This window comes from Homo sapiens, chromosome 11, assembly GCF_000001405.40.
Source record: "Homo sapiens chromosome 11, GRCh38.p14 Primary Assembly".
NCBI lineage: Eukaryota > Metazoa > Chordata > Mammalia > Primates > Hominidae > Homo > Homo sapiens.
Genome location: NC_000011.10, coordinates 32129910 through 32151894, shown reverse-complemented (window position 1 = coordinate 32151894; position 21985 = coordinate 32129910). Strand labels below are relative to the sequence as shown.

The window sequence follows — 21985 nt, the reverse complement described above, 5'->3', positions numbered from 1 at the left end:
TTTGCCCCCTCAGTGTTTTGTGTTGCATTGTTCTGACATAAGGAATGGAAACTTCCTCAGGCTGGCTCAGATGAAATGGAGACTGTGATCTCACACAAGCTAAGGAAGAAGGAACCAATAGCAGGCTCTTTCATGCTCTTTCTCTGTTGTTCAGGAGCCACGTTACTGTTCTCATTCTGCTTTTCTCTCTCTGGCATCTGTTTTCCTCCCAGCTCTCTTTTTTCTTCACTGGCTTCCTCTACTCATTTGTTTTGTGCTTGAACCCAAATAGCCCTTCCAACCCCCTTCACCCAGGCCCTTGCACCTGAAGTGTCTGCCACTGGCTGGTGGACTCTCCACTCCTTAGTTGACATTCCCTATACAATGTCAGTGGTTTCTTATCGGCCAGTGGGTTTTCTACCCTCGAGTCAGGAATATGTCCCTTCTTTTCTGTGGCCAGAAGGGACAGGAATTGTGGGTAGAACAAGTAGAATGGGGATAATAATATCTGTTTGGTGCATCTTTAAAAGAGGTATGATTTTCCCATTTTACAGAGGAGGAAACTGAGGCTAATGGAGGTTAAGTTACTTGTTAGAGGACAGCTCACAGGTGTCAGAGACAGGAATTAGGGACAAGGTAAGACAGACTCCATCCTCTTGCTTCCACTTGATGTGCTGACTCTGCAACATCCATGCTATTTGTTGCACAAGATGTGTGAACAGGGGACACTCAACAGCCAGGCTGAATGCTGGTTAATGTGGTTGGAGACCCAGTGACTCTTTGGGCAGTGTAGACAACACTAGCTTCTGCCCCATTTCCATATCTTTTTCTGTGTCTGTCCAGGGACATTGAAATAGCACATGCTGCCCTCCAAAAATCAGAGATGAAAGGGAAGATATGTTGCTTCATTTGAGCTTTGGAAAGCATCCAAAGAAAATCTGGTTGAAGGGTCATAAAAATATTTTTAAGGCTTTGACAGTGAGGTACGCTAAGTGAGGGCACCTGAAATTAAACCTTTCCTCCCTGTCGGAGGATGGAGACCTGTGCCTCCCTCTACCAGCTCTAGTATTTACTAGCTGTATGACTTTGGGCAAATTACTTAACTGTCCTGATCGTCTGTTTCTTCATCTGTAAAATGAGGATGATATAGTTTCAAAATTAGACCAAGCAGTGTGTACCAACAAGGACAGGCCCTTAGAAACAGCAGTCATCTTACGACTGTTCATTCTCCCTTTTTCCCTTTGCAGAGCCCGGCCCCTTCATAATGGTAGCCTTGGAGTTAGCTATTACTCTGGGTCTGAGACTCCCCTGGAAAATCCTACTGATCAAGGGATTCTAGCTTTCATTTTTCCAGCATCCCTTTCCTCTGTAAGGACCAAGGGAAACTTCCCCTTCACCCTCTGAAGGTTTGGAAAAAATCAACTAAAAAAAGACAGATTAATTGGGAAAAAAAAGCATATAAACTTACTTAACGGGTGCATGGGGAAAATCACAGTGATTGCCTGTCCTTCAACAGGGTTCAGAAACTTATATGCCTTCCTGGCAACACAGGTTATGAGAGGTGGGAGGAGAAGAGGGGCAATAAAGGATTATTATGGAGAATGAGTGGATCCCTAGTAATCCACTCATTAGTGGAACAGAAACTCACTTGTAAATAGTTGTCTTTGACAGTGAAAGGGTCTGTTTAGGTGTGGTTATGTTCTTGGTATTTCAGGGAGGGGAAAAAAAAACAATTGTTCTCCTTGATAGGTCTGGATCCTAGGGAGATAAAGGAACTTCAGCTTCTTTGGGAGAGATTATGAGGTTCGGGGGGAAGGTCAGAGAGACCTTGAAGCTTCTTCAGTTGATTATGTCAAAGTATCATATTTTGGGGGTTTTGTTTCTGATCCCCAACACCTCCTTTACATAAAACAGCACCCTCTTACTTGGAGGGCAGTGCCGTTTTCTTTCAGTGTGGTCCTGATGAGGCTGCCAATTCAGTACCACCCCTGGCCTGGGGAATGATAAACGCCATCTGCCTGGCCTCCCTGATTGGGCCAGAGATGGGGACATGACTGAAGGTGTTACCCGAAAAATACCAGGTGGCAGACTCATGACCAGGTGGGAGCGTACTGAGGCCCTTCTCCTATTTCCCTTTCGGCAACACACCTGTTAGCCTGAGCGTGTTTCCTCAGCTCACTGCCTCACCTGTTAGCAGCCGATAAGGGAGGTTGAGTTGGAGCTCAGTCTACAGTTCCACCTGGCTTTGTCCCACCTGGCTTTACCAGATTTGTTACCCGAAAAATACCAGGGTTTCTTACCTGGTGAATAACAAACAACTCCCCACGAGAACACAGGTTTTGATCTATAGGAGTTTTATTTCTTGGCACAAGTAAGGATGACACTGGGAGTATTCTCCAAAGCAGCATCTCTCTGAGGGAAAGTGACAGTAGGGCTTTATGGGGTGGTGGAGAGGGAAGACGGGGGTCATTGCATGTCGAGGAGGGGTCCTAGTTGCGTAGATGCAGAGAGTCATCATGTCAACACGTAGGTTGCATGTTATGGTAATGAAGCTACAGCTCCACCTAGGGTGGAGACTTTAGCGTGGTCATGAGAAAGTTCACTCGAGTTCATCTATGTTGCTGTGTTGCTGCTCCGTTGGGGAGCTGGTTTAAACCAACAAGGTGACTGCATTCCACCCAGGGTTTGGGGAAGAACAGGCTGCAGGGCAGGAGGCGGTAAACCAAGCTGATGGGTGGTTGATTAAATTCCTGTTATTCCTGGAGACCCTCCCTGTCTGCTTATAAATCTTTCCCCTACAGATCTTCCCGAGTTGAGATCTTCCCCCTAGAGATATGTCATCCTCATTCTTCAGGGGTCTGAGTCAGAGGTCATTCTTCTGTAACTTCCTCATGCTGACCAGTGCTGCCTGTAACAACTGTAATATTTCTTTTGGATGCTTAATCTACTTATTGCCTGCAGTCAGGAGGCCTCTTTCTTTCCAAATTGCCCCATGGGCGTGGAGTACATAGAAGGCATAAATGACATGGTTTGGCTGTGTCCCCACCCAAATCTCATCTTGAACTGTAGTTCCCATAATTCCCATCTGTCATGGGAGGGATCCAGTGGGAGGCAATTGAATCTTGGAGACGGTTGCCTCCATGCTGTTCTCATGATAGTGGGTGAGTTCTCATGAGATCTGATGGTTTTATAAGGGGATTTACCCCTCTTCACTCTGCACTTATCCTTGCTGCTGCCATGTGAAGAAGGATGTGTTTGCTTCCCTTTCTGCCATGATTGTAAGTTTCCTTAGGCCTTCCCAGCCTTGTGGAACTGTGAGTGTCAATTAAATCTCTTTTCTTTATAAATTACTCAGTCTCAGGTATGTCCTTATAGCAGCGTGAGAACGGGCTAATACACTTAGAGTCTGTGTAGAGAGTGATGGCCTTGCCTAGCCCTAAGGACAAGGCTTCGGTCAGGCTGAGATAATAATCTCAGCCTTCTGGGCCAATGTCCTGGGAGGTAGGCTGTTAGCCTGCTTAAGCCCAAGTAAGCACACCACTGCACACACTGCTTTTTGCTGGCCCATTGTTATGAAACTACTCCTGTCTACAAACCAGACCTCTTAGAGTTCTGAAGGGGTTCGCTTTCTATGTTTTCCCTATGTTTTCTCTGTGTTTCCCAGGCTGGTCTCAAACCCCTGGGCTCAAGTGATCCTCCCGTTTTGGCCTCCCAAAGTACTAGGATTACAGGTGTGAGCTTCTGCACTCAGCACCCTTTTCTAAATATAAATATCTCAAGTATTTACTTAACACACTACCCAAAATAGTGGGAGAGTTCTTGAATCCCTGAGGCAAGGCTGTCCAGCAATATTGTTGCCTTTGATGGGACTCAGCATCTTCCCATTCAAAGGCAGACAACTCCTGGGATTCTGGGCTCAGGAGGACACAGAAAAAGGTGTCCTGAAGATCTAGCATGGTATACAATTTGCTTTCTCCTGGAAGGTTAATCATAATGTTATAAGGATTGGGTACAACTGGGTGAATATCTTGAACAAACCAATATTCTTGAACAAACCAGTATTCTTCAGTTCTTGGCTTTTTGACTGGCAAGATATAGGGAAACTGACAAACATAGATTACACCTTGCTCCAGGAGGTGATGGAGCACCAGTAGAATTCTTCTCAGTGCCTCAGACCTCACTGGGTATTGCTTAGCCCTGCGTCTCAGTTCTGGTTCCTTCAATCGTACTGATGCCACTGGCCTAGCCGTTTTTGCTCCTCTGACCTCTTCCTGAGCTTACACCACAGGGTTAACTTGGCTCTCAATTTCTAAAGGAATCTCCTCTGTGTCCAGAACTTCCCCATGAACCAGGGCCAACATGGTGGCACCATGGGCCCAGAGAAACTCCACCATATCCTGTCCTGATTTAGAGCAATTATAGCCCCAAACTTAGTCAGAAGGACCTTTCCCAAAAGGAGAATGGGGCATTGAGGGACACAGAGGAAGAAATGAGTCAAAGACTTAGATCCCCTTCACAGACCAGAGGCTCCAGGAATCTTAGAATTTCTTTTAGCAGACATACTTTTATATTATATTCCCTCTTGGAGAGGGGTCCCCTTTTAGTGAGACATAGAAAATGTAGCCCCAGTGTCAAGAACTCAACTGGCTGTCCCCCTACTTCTAGGGTTACCCAGGGATTCTTGAGGGAGATGTGGATCTTGATGATCCAGGCGGGGAGCCCCAGGACCCTGTTAGTCAGTTTTCTCTCCATTTACAGGGAACTGGTGCTTGGGTTTGTCCTCTTTCTTCCCCCTCCGGGGAGGATCTGGACACTTCCTTTTCCAGTGTCCCTCCTGCTTGCAGTAAGCACATTGTGTGGGTCCCAGCTTAGGCACCCTCTGAGTCCCATGGCGGGGTCTCTGCTTACTTATCCATGCTTTCTTCTTCCTTCCTCCTGGTTCACCTGAAGTAGTCTGTAGGGCTACTGCCAGAAAATGAGCCTGTCTCTCCATCTTCTTGTCCTCCCTTTTGTCAGATGCCACATCTCTATTTTTGTTGATCTTGAAGGCAATGTCTATCAGTTGGGAAGGGAGAGTGCCTGGATTTATCACCAGTTTTGGAGTTTCCTCTGAATATCTAGGGTACTCTGAGAGATGAATTGGGAACCAAGCACTACTCAGCTTTTCAGGGTCCTCTGGTTTCCAAAGGGTGTAATCCTGGAGCCATTCTCGTAGTATCTTTAGGAATACTGATGGATTTTCATTAGGGCCTTGTTCTATTTCCCAGAGTTTCCCCAATTGACCAGGGGCTGGCTAATGTAAGCAGCATATTCCTATAATAATCTAGCTGCTTTTGATCCCTATTACCACTGGGACTCGGTGAGGATTGGCTCTTGGGAATGACACTTTAGCAGCCCAGTAGATTTTGTGACCATGGTTATCAGCACACATCTTGTCTGCCTCCTCCTTGGCTTTGGCTATGATGGCAGATTTCCCTTCTCCCATGCAGGGTTGCCATTAAGGTCTGCATGTCTGGCCACTTGGGGTTATGTGTGGAGAATATTCCACTTATGAGAATTATGAACTCTTCTGGGCTCACCCGTAAGACCTTAGTATGGAATTTCCAGTTATACAAGTCAGCAGTTGTAAAAGGCACACAGACCCAAGCAAAACCTGTATGTCCATCAGGCACCTGCCTGAGGGGGAACAGCCCCCTTTAGGGTTATATGTATTCCCACTATGAGTGGTGCTCCCAGACAGGGAGGGGTAAAATGGAGGAGGGCTGCTCTTGCCATAGTAGGAGCTACAGTCAACTCCTCAGAGTTTGGAGGGCCCAGCAAGTGATTCGGTTTGGCTGTGTCCCCACCCAAATCTCATCTTGAATTGAAGTTCTCATAATTCCCATGTGTTGTAGGAGGGACCCACTGGGAGATAATTGAATCATGAGAGTGGTTTCCCCCATACTGTTCTCATGGTAGCAAATAAGTCTCATGAGATCTGATGGCTTTATAAGGGGTTGCCCCTTTTGCCTGACTCTCATATTCTCTGTCCTGCCTGTGCCATGTAAAATGTGCCTTTTGCCTTCCACCATGATTGTGATGCCTCTCCAGCCATGTGGAACTGTGTGTCCATTAAACCTCTTTTTCTTTATAAACTACTGAGTCTGGGGTATGTCTTTATCAGCAGCGTGAGAACAGATTAATACAGCAAGTATGGAGGAGGATGCTTGCTTTCCTGTGGAGCCACTGAGCATTCAATTCCTGAGGAAGAAGGGGGACTATTTCTTCTCTCTATTGGCAAAAGTTCCAGTCCTTGAGTGGGGTTAGAGGGCCTCGCTTCTTCTCTTGGAGGGAAGTAGAGACATTCCTTCTTCCTGTTACCTTCCCTACAGGTCCCCACATGACTGTTTTTTCCTCTCCAGGGGTGCCTAGAATTGGCAACATAGTTCTCTTTGGCCCTTTGGCCAATTTCCATGCCTCATATTTCTTCTGCAGGGCTGGGTTTATATAGAAGGCCATAAACATTGTACAAAGGGCATTTCATCCTACTTGCCTTGTTTCTTGCAAAATAAATCCGATTGGAAAATTACATCATAAGTGAGCGATCCATGTTCAGCCCATCTCTCCTAATCTCTTAGGGAGTAGTGGGGCCATGCTGCATTACATTAATATATCATTTGCATTTTGGTCATGGGTAGATACCCAAACAGTTTCCAATGTCAGAGGAAGTACCTTAGTGGGCTCTCTTTAGGTATTGAGACCTGGTTCCCCATATTCTAGGGTCTTTGCAAAGAGTCTGATTCCACGCTCCAAGATACTTCTATTGAGGGTTAGTGGTGACACAAATCCTGCAACTTTTAGCCCGCAGAATATTTCTGCCTTCCTTGCTTGCTACCACACCTAGGCCACCCTAGAGTAGAGGTCCCGGGAAGCTATGAGAGGATAACAGGGATTGCCTCTTCCTGGACTGTTTGGTCTGGGAGGCTTCCCAGGAGATCTCACAAAGCCACTGGAGTAGTTCTGGGCTGGGCTTGCATGGTGGGGAGGTAGGTAAATCAATCAGGTAAGCGAGATATTCCCTCAGGAGAAGGCACACACACTGTCTCTCTCTGTTCACCTATCCTTTGTGTCACTGCATTCTAGTTCCAAGGATCAGGACCCCACAAAACTGCCTCCTTCAAAAATGGGTCTCCTTGGCAAACCAATAACAGTTCTCTTGTGACTGCTGCAAATGGAAGCTCAATATTTTAGGGGTTGCTACAGACTAAGGGGAGGGGAATCCAGGCTTCACAGTCATTCAGGTCACAGACAAAGACAAACAAACACTGACAAAGATGAACAAATATTCAGTCCTACGGATATACAAGACGGGATGAAATCCTGAAGATGACAGTCCTTGTCTTTATGTTGGGAGTTCCCCTTGTTAAAATGGATGGAGATGTCTCTCAATCTCCCAGACCTGAAGGGGAGTCCTCCCTTTTCCCAACAACCCTGAATCCCTTGACCTAGGTCCTAACCCTGACAACCCAGAGTCCTAATGATCAAAACCGAAATTACTCTTTTAAGTCAGTTCACAAAACTGCCACCACTTACCGCTGCAAAAGAACGCTGAACTGCTGGGCACGGTGGCTCACACCTGTAATCCCAGCACTTTGGGAGGCCGAGGTGGCGGATCTCGAGGTCAGGAGATCGAGACCATCCTGGCTAACATGGTGAAACCCTGTCTCTACTAAAGTACAAAAAAATTAGCTGGGCATAGTGGCGGGCACCTGTAGTCCCAGCTACTCGGGAAGTTGAGGCAGGAGAATGGCGCGAACCTGGGAGATGGAGCTTGCAGTGAGCTGAGATCGCGCCACTGCACTCCAGCCTGGGTGACAGAGCAAGACTCCATCTCAAAAAAAAAAAAAAAAAAAAGCGCTGAATGAAAAGGTCCAAGTGGCCATCTCTGCTCTCCCTGGGAGGTCCTGTGGCACCTGTGGGTTGACCAGACACCAGACAGGAGTGTCCTGAGGCCCTTCTCCAGTTTCCCTCTCAGCAACTTAGGTGAGTTAGCCCAAGTGTCCACAGGTTGTGGCTTCACCTGATTGGAAGCCTATAAGGGAGACTGAGTCAGAGCTTGGTCCACAGTCCCACCTGGGGTACCAGATTTGTTACCCCCAAAATACCAGGGTTCACTCACCTCATGAATAACAAAGGACTCTCCACAAGAACACTGTCTTTGATCAATAGGAGTTTTATTTAACTCAAGTAAGGGTGACACTGGGGGTATTCTCCAAAGCAGTGTCTTTCCGAGGGAAAGTGACAGGAGGGTTTTATGGCGCAATGGAGAGGAGACAGGGAGCATCATTGCATGACGAGGAGAGGTCTAGTTGCACAGATGCAGTGAGTCATTACGTCAGCGCATAGGTTGCATGTCATGGTAATGAAGCTACAGGTTGCCCAGGGTGGAGACTTTAGCGTGGTCATGAGAAAGTTCACTTGCGTTCATCTGTATGTTGCCGGGGGTCTGTCAAGAGCTGGTTTAAACCAACAAGGTGACTGCATTTTACCCAGGGTTTGTGGAAGAACAGGCTGCAGGGCAGGAGGCTGTAAACCAGGCTCATTGCTGAAGTTGGTTAAATTCCTGTTATCCCTGGAGACCCTCCCCGTCTGCTTATGAAGGTGGACTGATGAGAATTTATGTTCAGATGTTGGCCAACTGGGGCTCTTGTTCTCTTGGGAGATTGCGAAGCTGGGATGATGTAGACTTGAGTTGCTTCAGTCATGCCTTCTACTTGCTGCAGAAGGAAGAGTCTGCAGGGGCAAAGAGAAACAAACAGAGATCAAGAGGAAGCTGGATGGTGTTCGTCTGAGAAACTTGCTTCAAACCTTACAGTTCCTGAGGCCACTCTTCAACTGCCCAGTTACTCAGGACAATAGATTCCCTTTTTTTGCTTAAGCCTTTTGAGCTGACTTTCTATCCCTTGCAACTAGAAGGGATGGGGTAATTTACCTGAGACTGGTAAATTACCCGGGGTAGGTAAAATACCCAAGACTGGGTAATTTATAAAGAAAAGAGGTTTAATTGGCTCACAGTTGTGCATGGCTGGAAAAGAGAGACTCAGCTTCCCCTAGTCAGGTACCTAGATGAGGCATGGTTCAGGTCCCAGTGATGACCCCTTCCAGCCAGAGCCATTCAGCCATTGGAGATCACAAAAGGCTCCTTGGAAGAGTGGTACTGCCACAGTGATGTCCCTGACTACTGATCTTCCAAAAAGTAGGCATGAGCCCTGAGGACCTCTTATGCTCTCTTCTGTCCTCACCTCCGAAGCTGTAACATTAGCAAAAATGCAGTGCACCTTATGATCAACTAGCACCATTCCCAGCCATGGCTCAGCACCTGCTATTAATCTCTGACTGCGTACCGCTTGAAAAGCATGCCTCATTTCCTATCACAAAACCATTTAATTGGATTATGGATCCTTGCACTCACAATTTCTTCATGAGTACAAACCATCATTGATGAGGTGAAATGTGCTTACTGTTGCAGCCCTGACACAGGAAGTCCCACATCTCCACCCCCATGCCCGCATGTTTGCTCTCATCCACATCTGTAATTTGTACCTGTGGGTGTGCCCCCAATGCAGCTTCCCCTTCCCTTAGGCCTGCGGGGCCTTCACCTGGGTATTGACTCCTCTGGAATTTCTCCAAGCCTCCTCTTGCTGATTTCCAAAGTGAGCCTCATTAACAGTTTCCCTGTATTCTTCTGAACCAAATACACGGTTTCTAAGAGGCAACCTCAAGGGATGGACTTTGGAGTCAAATAGACTTATGTTTGGATTTCAGTACTATTAACAACTAGTTATACAACTCTGGATAAGCCTCACTTTTCTCATCTGTAAAATGGAGATGTCCTAGGCTTCCCAGGCAGTGTGGGATGAAATATTTGGCAACAGCTTCCTCCCCTTGGATCCATTTGCATGTGTTATGTTGCATCAGAAACAGGTGCCTTCTGTTTGGAGGTATGCAGTAAAAGTTTTTAACAACCAGCATATATGTACATACATAAGTTCATTATGCATTTTACTGATAAAAAAGATGCTTGGCACACAATTTACAAATTATAATGAAATATACAATCTTCTTTATTGTAAACTCTTTACGGCCAGTTGGTTCTCACAAAATGTCTTTATTGATTTTTGGCTGAATTCTTCTATCCTTAGCCAACTTTTAGCTGCAACTAACAAACAATTGTACTTCTGGCATGAATGTTCGTTGATATTTTTGTGTGCATGTTAATGAGTAAGAAGTATGTTGTGAGCTAAAAATAATAGTTTTTGAATACTTAAAAATATTTCCTTTGGCTGGGCACAGTGGCTCACGCCTGTGATCCCAGCACTTTGGGAGGGTGAGACAGGCAGATTGCTTGAGCCCAGAAGTTTGAAACCAGCCTGGGTAACATGGTGAAACCCCATCTCTATAAAAAATAAAAAAAAATAGTTGGGTGTGGTGGAGCACACCTGTAGTCCTAGCTATTTGGGAGGCTGAAATGGGAGGATCACCTGAGGCAGGGAGGTCAAGGCTGCAGAGAGCCATGATCGCACCACTGCATTCCAACCTGGGTGATGAAGTGAGACCCTGTCTCAAAAAATAATAATAATACTAAAAAAAACTTTCTTAATTTTTAGTGCTGTTTACACTGCAGACATGATGCACTTTTAAACTTAATATGCATTTTTAATATGTTCTTAAGTCTTTAGTCTAGCTCAGGGATCAACAAATTATGGCCCTTGGGCCAAATCTGGCCCACTGCCTATTTTTGTAAATAAAGTTTATTGGAACACAGCCATGTCCATTCCTTCAGGTATTGTCTGTGGCTGCTTTCATGCTACAAGAGCAGAGTTGGGTGGCTGCGACAGAGACCAGATGGCCCACAAAGCCTAGAAGATTTACCACCTGGCCCTTTAACAGGAGAAGTTTGCTTACCCTCCTTCCCTATACCTACAACCAATAAAATAATAAATTCAATCAATAAATCAAAACAATAAATTTGCAGTGGTTGCTGATTTTCTTGGTATTCATAGTCCCACTATGGCAAATTTCAAGTTCTAACTCTGTGTCACTGAATACACAGTGAGAAGGAGATTGACAGAATATAATATTCTCACTGCACAGATACAATAGATGTAAATAAGCTAAAGAGCATAGATAATAGTAAAATGTCACAAAATAATTAGGGATGATAAGTTTTGAGTATTACTTTGTTTTAACATAATTTCTTTAATTGTAAATCTATATTATTTAATTTTTAATAATGATCATCTTTAACCAACTCATAAAAAGTTCTGAGAATATAACAATTGGCTGTCGTGAGCTGGTACACACCAGCTCCCTGCCCCTGGGGAAAAATTGGAACTGTTTCTATGCTGAGGTTTGAATATACAAAGGGTGATTTAGTTAGAGATGGGGTGGGCAAGGGGAAGGGCAGAGGCCAACAGCAGGCAAATAGCAAAGAAGCAGAGTAGACCCCTCTAAGGAGAATTCTTCCTGAAGAGCAAGTGTCTGATTCCATTCAGAGTCTGAGAATCGATGGAGATAAGCCAGGGTCCCCAGGCAGCTGTTGCTTTAATCCACCCAATCCAGTTATTCTGGCGGAAGTTGCATGCCTGACTAGGAAGGGGGCTCTAAGTAAACCTAAAAGAGCTGAAATATCCCTGGATGCATCAGCTTTGCTGGGGGACCCGCCCCCAAGTCAATGGGTCTCAGATAAATACAGAGTGCTTCTGTACCCACGGTGCAGCTGGCAAAGGAACACTCTTATCTGGGGTAGAATGGCAATGGTGGCCACCCAGACACTGGTTCAAGTGGAGCATTGCTTGGTTGCCAGAGCCATTCTGGTTAGAGAGATAATAATACTTCCTCACAGGGTGTTTTTGAGTTGACAGTGAGATAATAACATGCCAGGCACCTAGCACAGCATAGGTATTTAATAAGCATCTGTCTGGTCTGCTGCTTGTTTTCCCTCTCTCTACTATTCCAAGGCAGCTACCTCAACTTTATTATCTTGGTCCCTGATATGATTAGGCTTTATATCCCCACAAGAATTGTAATCCCCATAATCCCCATGTGTCAAGGGAGATAACAGGTGGAGGTAATTGAATCATGGGGGCGGTTTCCTCCATGCTATTCTTGTGATAGTGAGTTCTCACAAGATCTGATGGTTTTATAAGAGGCTCTTCCCACTTCGGTCGGCACTTCTCCTTCCTACTGCCTTGTGAAGAAGGTGCCTTGCTTCCCCTTTGCCTTCCGCCATGATTGTAAGTTTCCTGAGGCCTCCCCAGCCATGGTGAACTGTGAGTCAATTAAATCTCTTTCCTTTATAAATTATCCAGTCTCAGGTAGTACCTTTACAGCAGTGTGAGAATGGACCAATACTGTCCCTAAGTAACTTGCCTTGCCTTCCAGATGCACAAAAGGCATCCAGCTCAGGTAACTCACTGAGCATTGTTCAGCATGAAGCCTATATTTCAGTTAGCTCCTGCTGTGTAACAATTCATCTCAAAATTCACTAAGATTCACAAAAACAATAATGATTAATGTTGCTCATGAGTCTTTTATCTTTACTAGATAGTTCTTTTAGTCAGAGCTGGGCTTTCTCTGCACCTGTGGTCAGTTAGGTATCTTTATTGATCTTGGTTGTACTCCTTCACATGTCTAGGGCTTGGCTGGGACAACTGGGGTGACTTGGCAGTGTTTTATGTGGTCTCATACTGCAACAGGTTAGCCTGGGCTTGAGCTCATGGCAGAAGAAGGATCTAAGAGAGCAAGCACAAACACTGCAAGCCCTCTTGAAGCCTAGAGTTGGAATTTGCACACCACTTACACTCTATTTGATTGGCCAAAGCAAGTCAAAGGCCTGGCCAGAGTCATAGTGGGTGGGGACAATGAAATTACAGGCAAGGGGCATGAATATAGGAGGTCGTTAATCAGGGCCAGCAATGAATCGATCCTCCACAAAGCCAAAGTGTTTGTTACCACCTGCATGACACTTTCGCATGTGGGGGACACACAGGGATCCCAAACAGGGCTGCTTAAGGCTCTGCTTTGCTCTCAGGCCCCCTGCCTCTTCAGGCATCAGAGGCCACTGTTCTGGGCCCTTGGGGTTTCCTTTTCAGGAGATTATAATTTTGGCTTATTTTCTTACAAATGGTCTTTCTGAACATGAAATATCCAAGGAAAGTCCTTGCCATATTAGAAAAAAAACTGTGGGAACTGGATATGTATAGATTTAGAATTTTATTACTTTTAAGGGTATATGACTTACTTCTCAAGTATTTTCTTTTTCTTTTTTTTTTTGAGATGGAGTCTCGCTCTGTTGCCCAGGCTGGAGTGCAGTGGCGCGATCTCAGCTCACTGCAAGCTCCGCCTCCCGGGTTCACGCCATTCTCCTGCCTCAGCCTCCCGAGTAGCTGGGACTACAGGCGCCCACTACCATGCCTGGCTAATTTTTTGTATTTTTTAGTAGAGATGGGGTTTCACCGTGTTAGCCAGGATGGTCTCGGTCTCCCGACCTTGTGATCCGCCCGCCTCGGCCTCCCAAAGTGCTGGGATTACAGGCGTGAGCCACCGCGCCCGGCCTTTCTCAAGTACTTTCAATGGAGTCCCAGCTCCTCTCTAATTCTCTCTTTCCTTGCTCCAGGGAAATCATTTATCCTGGTTTTACTCCCATCTCCAGACCTCTTGGTCTCATTCTCCCTGGAGCATCCTTCTTTGTGCGCTCTTGAGTTCTCCCAGAAGCAGATGTTGAAACTAAGATTTGAGTGTGAGTGATCTATCTGGGAGGTGATCATAGGGCACACCAGTGGAGCCATTGAGAAGTGAGACAGGGAAGTGAAAGATGCAAGTACAGGGTATAGTAATGAGGAGGTAACTGCTGTGAGCAACTGCGGCTAGATCCCACCGGGACCTCTGTGAGATGGTGGGGAACACATTTGAGTTGTCCCACAAGAGTCCCATCAACATTGGCTAAGGGCTGTTTACCCTGGCATTTCTGGCCTGCATCAAGCTCAACTTGAGAGAAAGCCCTTGGATGGAGTTACAATAGGATGCCATTGGCATGCTTGGAAACAGTGAGTGCTGAGCACATTGGGCAGGGTACTGAGGCTCCTGTCATAACCCCATAAATGCAGGTTTTGCCCTCTATTCTCTTTTCTGCCCATACTCAGTGCTCTCTATGTGCAATCTCATACACTTCATGGCTTCAATATCAATCCACATACCAATTTTTGCCAAATCTCTGTCCCCAGCCATATTCTCTTTCTCAGGTTTTAAGCTTCTATTTTCCACTGCTTAATAGAATTCTCCACTTGAATGTCCAACAGGCATCTTGAAGGAAACACGTCAGAAGCTAAACTTATCACCCTTTTCTTCCTACCCCTCTCCGGACCACACATTCCTTTCATAATCTCATTCTTAGTGGATGACATCACCATTCTCATCCTCCTAAGCTAGAAATTTGAGTCATCTTTTTGCAACATCCCTATGATTAGTCTTCCTGCTGTCATATTTTCCTGCTCCAACCTATCCAATATTTAGCAGCCAGAACTATTTTCATACAGTGTGCTCATACCACTTTCCTGAAAGCATGTCTATCATCTGTTGTAAAAGACACCTTTTGAGATATCTGCCTTGCTCCTAATGGCCCCTGTAACTTACCTTTATATTCGCATAGATGAGTCTGTTGCAACCGTGTTACCTTTAAGACTATCCTCATCTCCACCATCACAGTTAGTTGTATGAGCTTCACTAGTCAGAGTCTCCCAGGGACTTCTAGTGTTCTTGAATAGAGAGAAAGTAAAACTTGAGCTGGGCATAGCAATATTTCTTCTACCATACTGACTGAAAACACAGAAAACTGGTCCATAGAGAAAGAAAGAAGAAGCTGTGATGGACATGTTTTGACTGTCCAGTATCTCTGTGAGAAATCACCCTTTTCATTCTCAGTCCACGGTTCAGGTGGACTCCCATCAGGGAGGCATGGCCAGAGAACTCTGCTCCCCTGACTACAGTGATTGGCTTGAGGTTGAACACATGACTCAGGCTTGACCAATCAGTGTACTCTGATTTCTGGCTACAGTGATTAGTTCAAGAGTGGGTTTATGACCCAACACCAGGCCAATCAGCCATTCCCAGAGCTTTAGCTGGAACTGTCAGGCAAGAGACTCTCTTTTGGCGACAATCATGAGGTATATAGATGATTTAAGATGAGGGTGGCCATCTTTGCCACCACGTAAAGAGATTCTTCTTGAAAATGAAGCAAATGAAGAGGAAAGAAGAACAAAATAGTGACAAGATTCCCATGAAGGCACTTGAACTGTTGCATCCAACAGTGCCTGGAGTTGTATTTATTATACTTCTGGACACCTCACTTAAAAAAAGTTGTGGTAACCTATACAAAGCATTTACTATTTTAACCATTTTTAAGTGTAAAGTTCTGTGGCATTAGGTATCTTCACATTATTGTGCAGTTGTCACCACCATCCATCTGTGGAATATTTTCATCTTCCCACACTTCCCAATTCCTCCTTGGCCCCAGCCCCTGGCAAGCACCCTTTTACTTTTTGTCTCTATGAATGTACTATAGGTACCTCACAGAAGTAGAGTGATACAATATTTGTCATTTCGTGACTAGCTTATTTCACATAGCGAAATGTCCTCAAAGTTAACCCCTGCTATAGCATGTGCCTAGACTTCCCTTTGAGAGTAAAAAAAATCCCTTTCTGGCTTAAACTATTTTGAGTTATATTTCTGTCACTTATGACCAAAAGAACAGGTTAATAGAAAATGGATATGGAGAGGGGGGGGGAAAAAAACCAAGATAAAAGATTGAGGCGATCACACCTGTAATCCCAGCACTTTGGGAGGCTGAGGCAGGTGGATTGCTTGAGGTCAGGAGTTCAAGACCAGCCTGACCAACATGGCAAAACCCCATCTCAATTAAAAATACAAAAAATTAGCTGGTCGTGATGCTGCGCACCTGTAGTCCCAGCTACTCGGGAGGCTGAGGCAGGAGAATCGCTTGAACCTAGGAGGCGGAGATTGCAGTGAGCCGACATGACGCCACTGCACTCCAGTTTGGGTAACAGAGGGAGACCTTGTCTAAAAAAAAAAAAAAAAAAAAAAAAAAAGAAAGAAAAAAAAAGAGAGAGGAGGAGAGTTTCTTTAGCTTTCCAGTTACCAATTTCAGCCTCTTTTTAAGTCTGACTATATAAAGCCCTTGAGTTCTCTGAACACTGAAGGTCATCTTTTTCACTTTTAGGCCAGTTTATTTGGTTAAAAGCAGAGTTGTAACCAACACACCTCCTCATTCTATCTAGGATAAAGCCTGAACTTCTCCAGCATGGATAAAGAGCTTCCATCTGCTTTAGGGCCTGTCCCCACCAGGTGAATCCTATTCTTAATCCTCTCAGAAGCTCTTGCCATTTACCAAATAATCTCCCTTTCTCCTGCCTCTCTGCCTCATGCTGTCCTCTCTGCCTAGAATGTCTCTCTTTTCCTAACCAGAAAACTCCTACATAGCCTTCAAGACTCTGCTCAAGTGTTACCTTCTCTTTGCAGGCTTCTCTGACTTCCTTTTCACTCTCCCAAGCCAAGGACACCTTGTATAGCAACTGTTTGTAGGTTTATCAGTCATTAGTCTAAGAGCTCCATGAGGTCATGGGTTGTGTTTGCTTCTTTGTGTCCCAGGACCTGGCACAATTGCTGGCACTTAGTGAGTTTTTCTTGAATAAATGAATATAAAAATTACTTGATAATTTTCAATATTTGATATCCAAATAATACACTGAAAGCTTTAAAAATATTTTATCATCTAAATGGGTTAAGTATGTCTCTGAAAGCTTTTTAAAACTTACTACTTCCACCACTAATAAAAAATTCAGAGTGAGCCTTCAGCCCAGTGCACACAGATTTAACAAACATTTCCAAGAGTGGAAACCCAGATTCATGAGACTTGACCATATTTAGTCAGAAGGAGAACAGCATTTTCTGTGGCCTGGTTTGTTCTTTGCAGTATTTATTCTTTTTAAGGACATATGATGCCAGTAAATTTCTAGTTATATTGGATTGTTCTTTAATCCTTAGATTCCTGGGTGAACTACAGAACTGATGGGTCCTGACATAACGAAAAAATTCCACCTTCCTTTGCTGCCTAGCACTGCCTCTTTCTTTTTCTTTTTTTGTTGCAATTGTCTCTCACTGACGTATTTGAAGGATATTTGAGCTGGAAAGCTCAACCAAATGATGCGTTTTTGCTAATATGATGACTTCTCCATAGACTTCTTTAGATTTATATATGTTCCTGTGCAACTTATCAAACCTTCTCATAGTGCCTCCTGGCTTATCATGGCTTTTGAAAGAATAGAGGATCTTTGTCATTTGAAAAGTTTCATGTCTTTGATTTTTTTTCACCCACTGGTATTAGGATTCACAAGTACAGACTATTTTCTTCAAATTTCTCTCTTCACCTAATTCTGTTTTTTCTCCAAAAAAGTACTTTGTATGATTTTGGTATTATTACATGTTCATTTGGAAACTTGGAAAAGGATAAAGAAGAAAAGAATCATCATTGATAATCTCACAGAGACTAATTTTGTTAAGATATTGGTATATTTGCTACTTGCTAAGATATTGCTATATTCTTCTCCATTCTGTTCTTTCTTTAAAATAACTATACTGAGGTATAGCTGACGTAAAATAAGATGCACATATTTAAAGTGTGCAATTTGATGAGTTTTAGCATATTTACAAACTTGTGAAACCATCACTACAATCAAGATCATGAATATCACTACCATCGCCCCCAAGTTTCCTGGTGCCCCCTTTGTAATCCCTCCCTTCTGCTCTACCCCCAGGTAACCATGCATCTGCTTTCTTTCACTAGAGATTAGTTTGACTCTTCTAGAAATTTATATAATTAGAACCATACATTATGCATTCTTTTCTTTTTTTTTTTGATCCAGCTTTTTTACTCAGCATAATTATTCTGAAATTTTACGTGCTGTTGTGTGTTCATTCCTTTTTATTGATGAGTAGTATTCTATTGTATGGATATGCCACAGTTTGTTTATGAGCCTGTAGACCAACATTTGGTTGTTTCCAGATATTACAAAAAAAAAAACCTACTGTAAATTAAAATCACAATGAAATACCACCTTACTCCTACAAGAACGGCCATAATTAAAAAGTCAAAAAACAATAGATGTTGGTGTGGATGTGGTCAAAAGGTAACAGTTTTACATTGCTGGTGGGAATATAAGTTAGTACAACCAATATGGAAAACGGTATAGAGATTCCTTGGGGAATAAAAATGAAAGTACCATTCGATCCAGCAATTTCACTACTGAGTATCTACCCAGAAGAAAAGAAGTCATTATATGAAAAAGACACATGAACATGCATGTTTATAGCAACAGAATCCACAATTGCAAAGATATGGATCCAACCTAAATGCCCATCAACTGAGTGCATAAAGAAAATGTGGTGTGTATACACCATGGAATACTACTCAGTCATAAAAGGGAATGAAATAATGTCTTCTGCAGCAACTTGGATGGAGCTAGAGGACATTATTCTAAGTGAAGTAACTCAGGAATAGAAAACCAAATATCATATGTTCTCACTTATAAGTGGGAGCTAAGCTATGAGGACACAAAAGCATAAGAATGACATAATAGACTTTGAGGACTCAGAGGAGAAGTTTGGGAGGGAGGTGATGGATACAAAACTACATATTGGGTGCAGTGTACACTGCTCAGGTGATGGATGCACTAAAATCTCAGAAATCACCACTAAAGAACTTATCCATGCAACAAAAACCACTTGTACCCCCAAAACTATTGAAATAAAAATAAACAAATAACGAAAAAAGCTACTGTGAATACTCCTGTACAGGCCGTTTTGTAGACATATGCTTTCATTTCTCTTGGATGAATAACAATGAGTAGAATGGCTGGGTCATATGGTAAATGTATTTTTTACTTTTTTAGGAAACTACCAAAGTAGTTTCCCAAGCAGTTGTGTAATTTTACATTCTCATCAGCAGTATATGAGCGTTCTAATCCTCCACATCTGTATTAGACCATTCTTATGCTGCTAATAAAGAAAGACATACCTGAGACTGGGTAATTATAAAGGAAAGAAGTTCAATGGAGTCACAGTTCCACACGGCTGGGGAGGCTTCACAATCATGGTGGAAGATGAAGGAAGAGCAAAGAGACATCTTATGTGGCAGCAGGCAAGAGAATGTTTGCAGCAGAACTCCCCTTTATAAAACCATCAGATCTCATGAGACTTATTCACTATCACGAGAACAGCATGGGAAAGACCTGCTCCCATGATTCAGTTATCTCCCACTAGGTCTCTCCCATGACACGTGGGAATTATGGGAGCTACAATTCAAGATGAGATTTGGGTGGGGAGACAGCCAAATCATATTAGCATCCTTGTCAATACTTGCTACACTCCACCTTCTTAAAAATTTTTTTTGAGCTTCATTTCCAGTTCTACTTTTTTTTTCGACTTTTTTTTAGGTTCAGTGGGTACATGTGCAGGTTTGTTATGTGGGTAAATTTCATGTCACTGGGGTTTGGTATGCAAATGATCCCATCACCCAGGTAGCACACACAGTACACGATAGTTTTACAACCCTCACTGCCCCCCACCCCAAGATGTCCCCCAATAGTCCCCAGTGTCTATTGTTTTCATCTCCATGTCCTTGGGTATTGAATGCTTAGTTCCCATGTATAAGTAAGAACTTGTGGTATTTGGTTCTCTGTTCCTGCATTAACTTGCTTAGGATAATGGCCTCTAGCTGCATCCATGTGGCTTTAAAGGACATGATTTCATTCTTTTTATGGCTGCATACTATTCCACAGTGTGTGTATATATATATATATATATATATATATATATATATATATATATATATATATATATATCACATTTTCTTTATTCAGTCTATTGTTGATGGGCATCTAGGATAATTCCATGTCTTTGGTATTGTGAATAGTGCTGGGATGAATATATGAGTACATGTGTGTTTGTGGCAGGATGATTTATTTGCTTTTGAATATATATCCAGTAGTGGGCTTGCTGGGTCAAATGGTAGTTCTGCTTTAAGTCCTTTGAGAAATCTCCAAACTGCTTTCCACAGTGGCTGAACTAATTTATATTCCCACCAACAATGTATAAACCTTTCCTTTTCTCTGCAACCTCTCCAACATCTGTTATTTTCATGCAAGTATTAATAAATAAAGACTCCATTGGCCTGACGCAGCTCCCTCAAACTCTGCTTGAAGAGATGACTCTTGACCTGTGGTTCTCCAGTGTAAAAAAGATGACTGAACCTTGCAGAACCTGACTTTTTAATAATAGCCATTCTGACCAGTGTGAGATGGTATCTCATTGTGGTTTCGATTGGCATTTCCCTGATGATTAGTGACGTTGAGCATTTTTTCATATGTTTGTTCACTGTATGTATGTCTTCTTTTGAGAAGTGTCTATTCATGTGGTTTGGTCATTTTTATACAGGGTAATAGGTTGTCTGATTACTCTGTTAATAGTTTCTGCTGTGCAGAAGCTTTTTAGTTTAATGATGTCCCACTTGTCAATTTTTTGTTTTGTTGCAATTGCTTTTGAGGACTTAGTCATCAATTATTTGCAATGGCCAATGTTCAGCATGGTGTTTCCTAGGTTTTCTTCTAGTATTTTAATAGTTTTAGATCTTACATTTAAGTCTTGAACCCATCTTGAGTTTGTTTTTTGTATATGGCGAAAGGTACGGGTCTAGTTTCAATCTTCTGCATATGGCTGCCTTGTTATCCCAGCACCTTTTATTGAATAGGGAGTCCTTTCCCCTTTGCTTGTTTTTGTCAACTTTGTTGTAGGCATGTGGCTTTATTTCTGGGCTCTCTATCCTGTTCCATTGGCCTATGTGCCTGTTTTTATGCCAATACCATGCTGTTTTGGTAGTGTGATGCCACTGACTTTATCTTTTTGTTGTTGTTGCTTAGGATTGTCTTACTATTCAGGCTCTTTTTATTGGTTCTATATTAATTTTAGAATAGTTTTTTTCTAATTCTGTGAAAAATGATGTTAGTAGTTTGACAGGAATACCATTCAATCTGTAAATTGCTATGACCATCTTAACAATATTGATTCTTCCTATCCATAAGGATGCAGTGTTTTTCCATTTGTTAGAGTCATCTCTGATTTCTTTCAGCAGTGTTTTGTAATTCTCATTGTAGAGATCTTTCGCCTCCTTGGTTAGCTATAGTCCAAGGTGTCTTATTCTTTTTGTGGCTGTTATAAATTGGATTGCATTCTTGATTTGGCTCTTAGTTTGAACATTATTGGCGTATAGAAATGCTATTAATTTTTGTACATTGATTTTGTATCGTGAAACTTTACTGAAGTTCTAGGAGCCTTTTGGCAGAGTCTTTAAGGCTTTCTAGGTATAGTGTCATATCATCTATGAAGAGAGATAATTTCACTTCCTCTCTTCCTATTTGGATGCTTTTTATTTCTTTCTCTTGCTTGATTGCTCTGGCTGGGACTTCCAGTACTATGTTGATTAGGAGTGGTAAGAATAGGCATCCTTGTCTTGTTCTGGTTCTCAAGGGGAATGCTTTTGGCTTTTGCTTGTTCAGTATGATGTTGGCTGGAGATTTGTCATAGATGGCTCTTATTATTTTGAGGTGTGTTCCTTTGATGCCTAATTCATTGAGGATTTTTAACATGAGGGATGTTAAATTTTATCGAAAGCTTTTTCTGTGTCTATTGAGATGATCATATAGTTTTTGTTTTTAATTTTGTTTATGTGGTGAATCACATTTATTGATTTGCATATATTGAAACAACCTTGCATCCCAGGAATAAAGCCTACTTGATTATAGCGAATTAACTTAGTGATATGCTGCTGGATTCAGTTTGCTAGTATTTTGCTGAGGATTTTCACATCTATGTTCATCAGGGATATTGGCCCAAAGTT

The 21985-nt window shown here is 43.0% G+C and overlaps 1 long non-coding RNA gene, 1 other non-coding gene and 1 pseudogene across 2 annotated transcripts, besides 1 other annotated feature; 2 read left to right on the top strand and 1 right to left on the bottom strand.

Moving 5' to 3' along the window:
* Positions 1-21985, top strand: part of THEM7P (thioesterase superfamily member 7, pseudogene) — a 56775-nt pseudogene that overhangs the window by 16929 nt on the left and 17861 nt on the right.
* On the top strand, positions 7983-8153 carry SNORA88 (small nucleolar RNA, H/ACA box 88). Its single transcript, NR_132770.1, has one exon. It is a non-coding gene; the product is annotated as a small nucleolar RNA, H/ACA box 88 (small nucleolar RNA).
* LOC107984322 (uncharacterized) lies at positions 8172-15059 on the bottom strand. The gene is made up of 2 exons (XR_001748165.2): positions 14653-15059; positions 8172-8751 (listed from the first exon to the last, which is right to left on the bottom strand). It is a non-coding gene; the product is annotated as an uncharacterized LOC107984322 (long non-coding RNA).
* Positions 13906-13995: an enhancer, noted in NCBI's record as "active region_4563". NCBI's record gives its function as "activates an Ori minimal core promoter by ATAC-STARR-seq in GM12878 lymphoblastoid cells {active_cell/tissue: GM12878}" and the evidence as "EXISTENCE:reporter gene assay evidence [ECO:0000049][PMID:35858748]".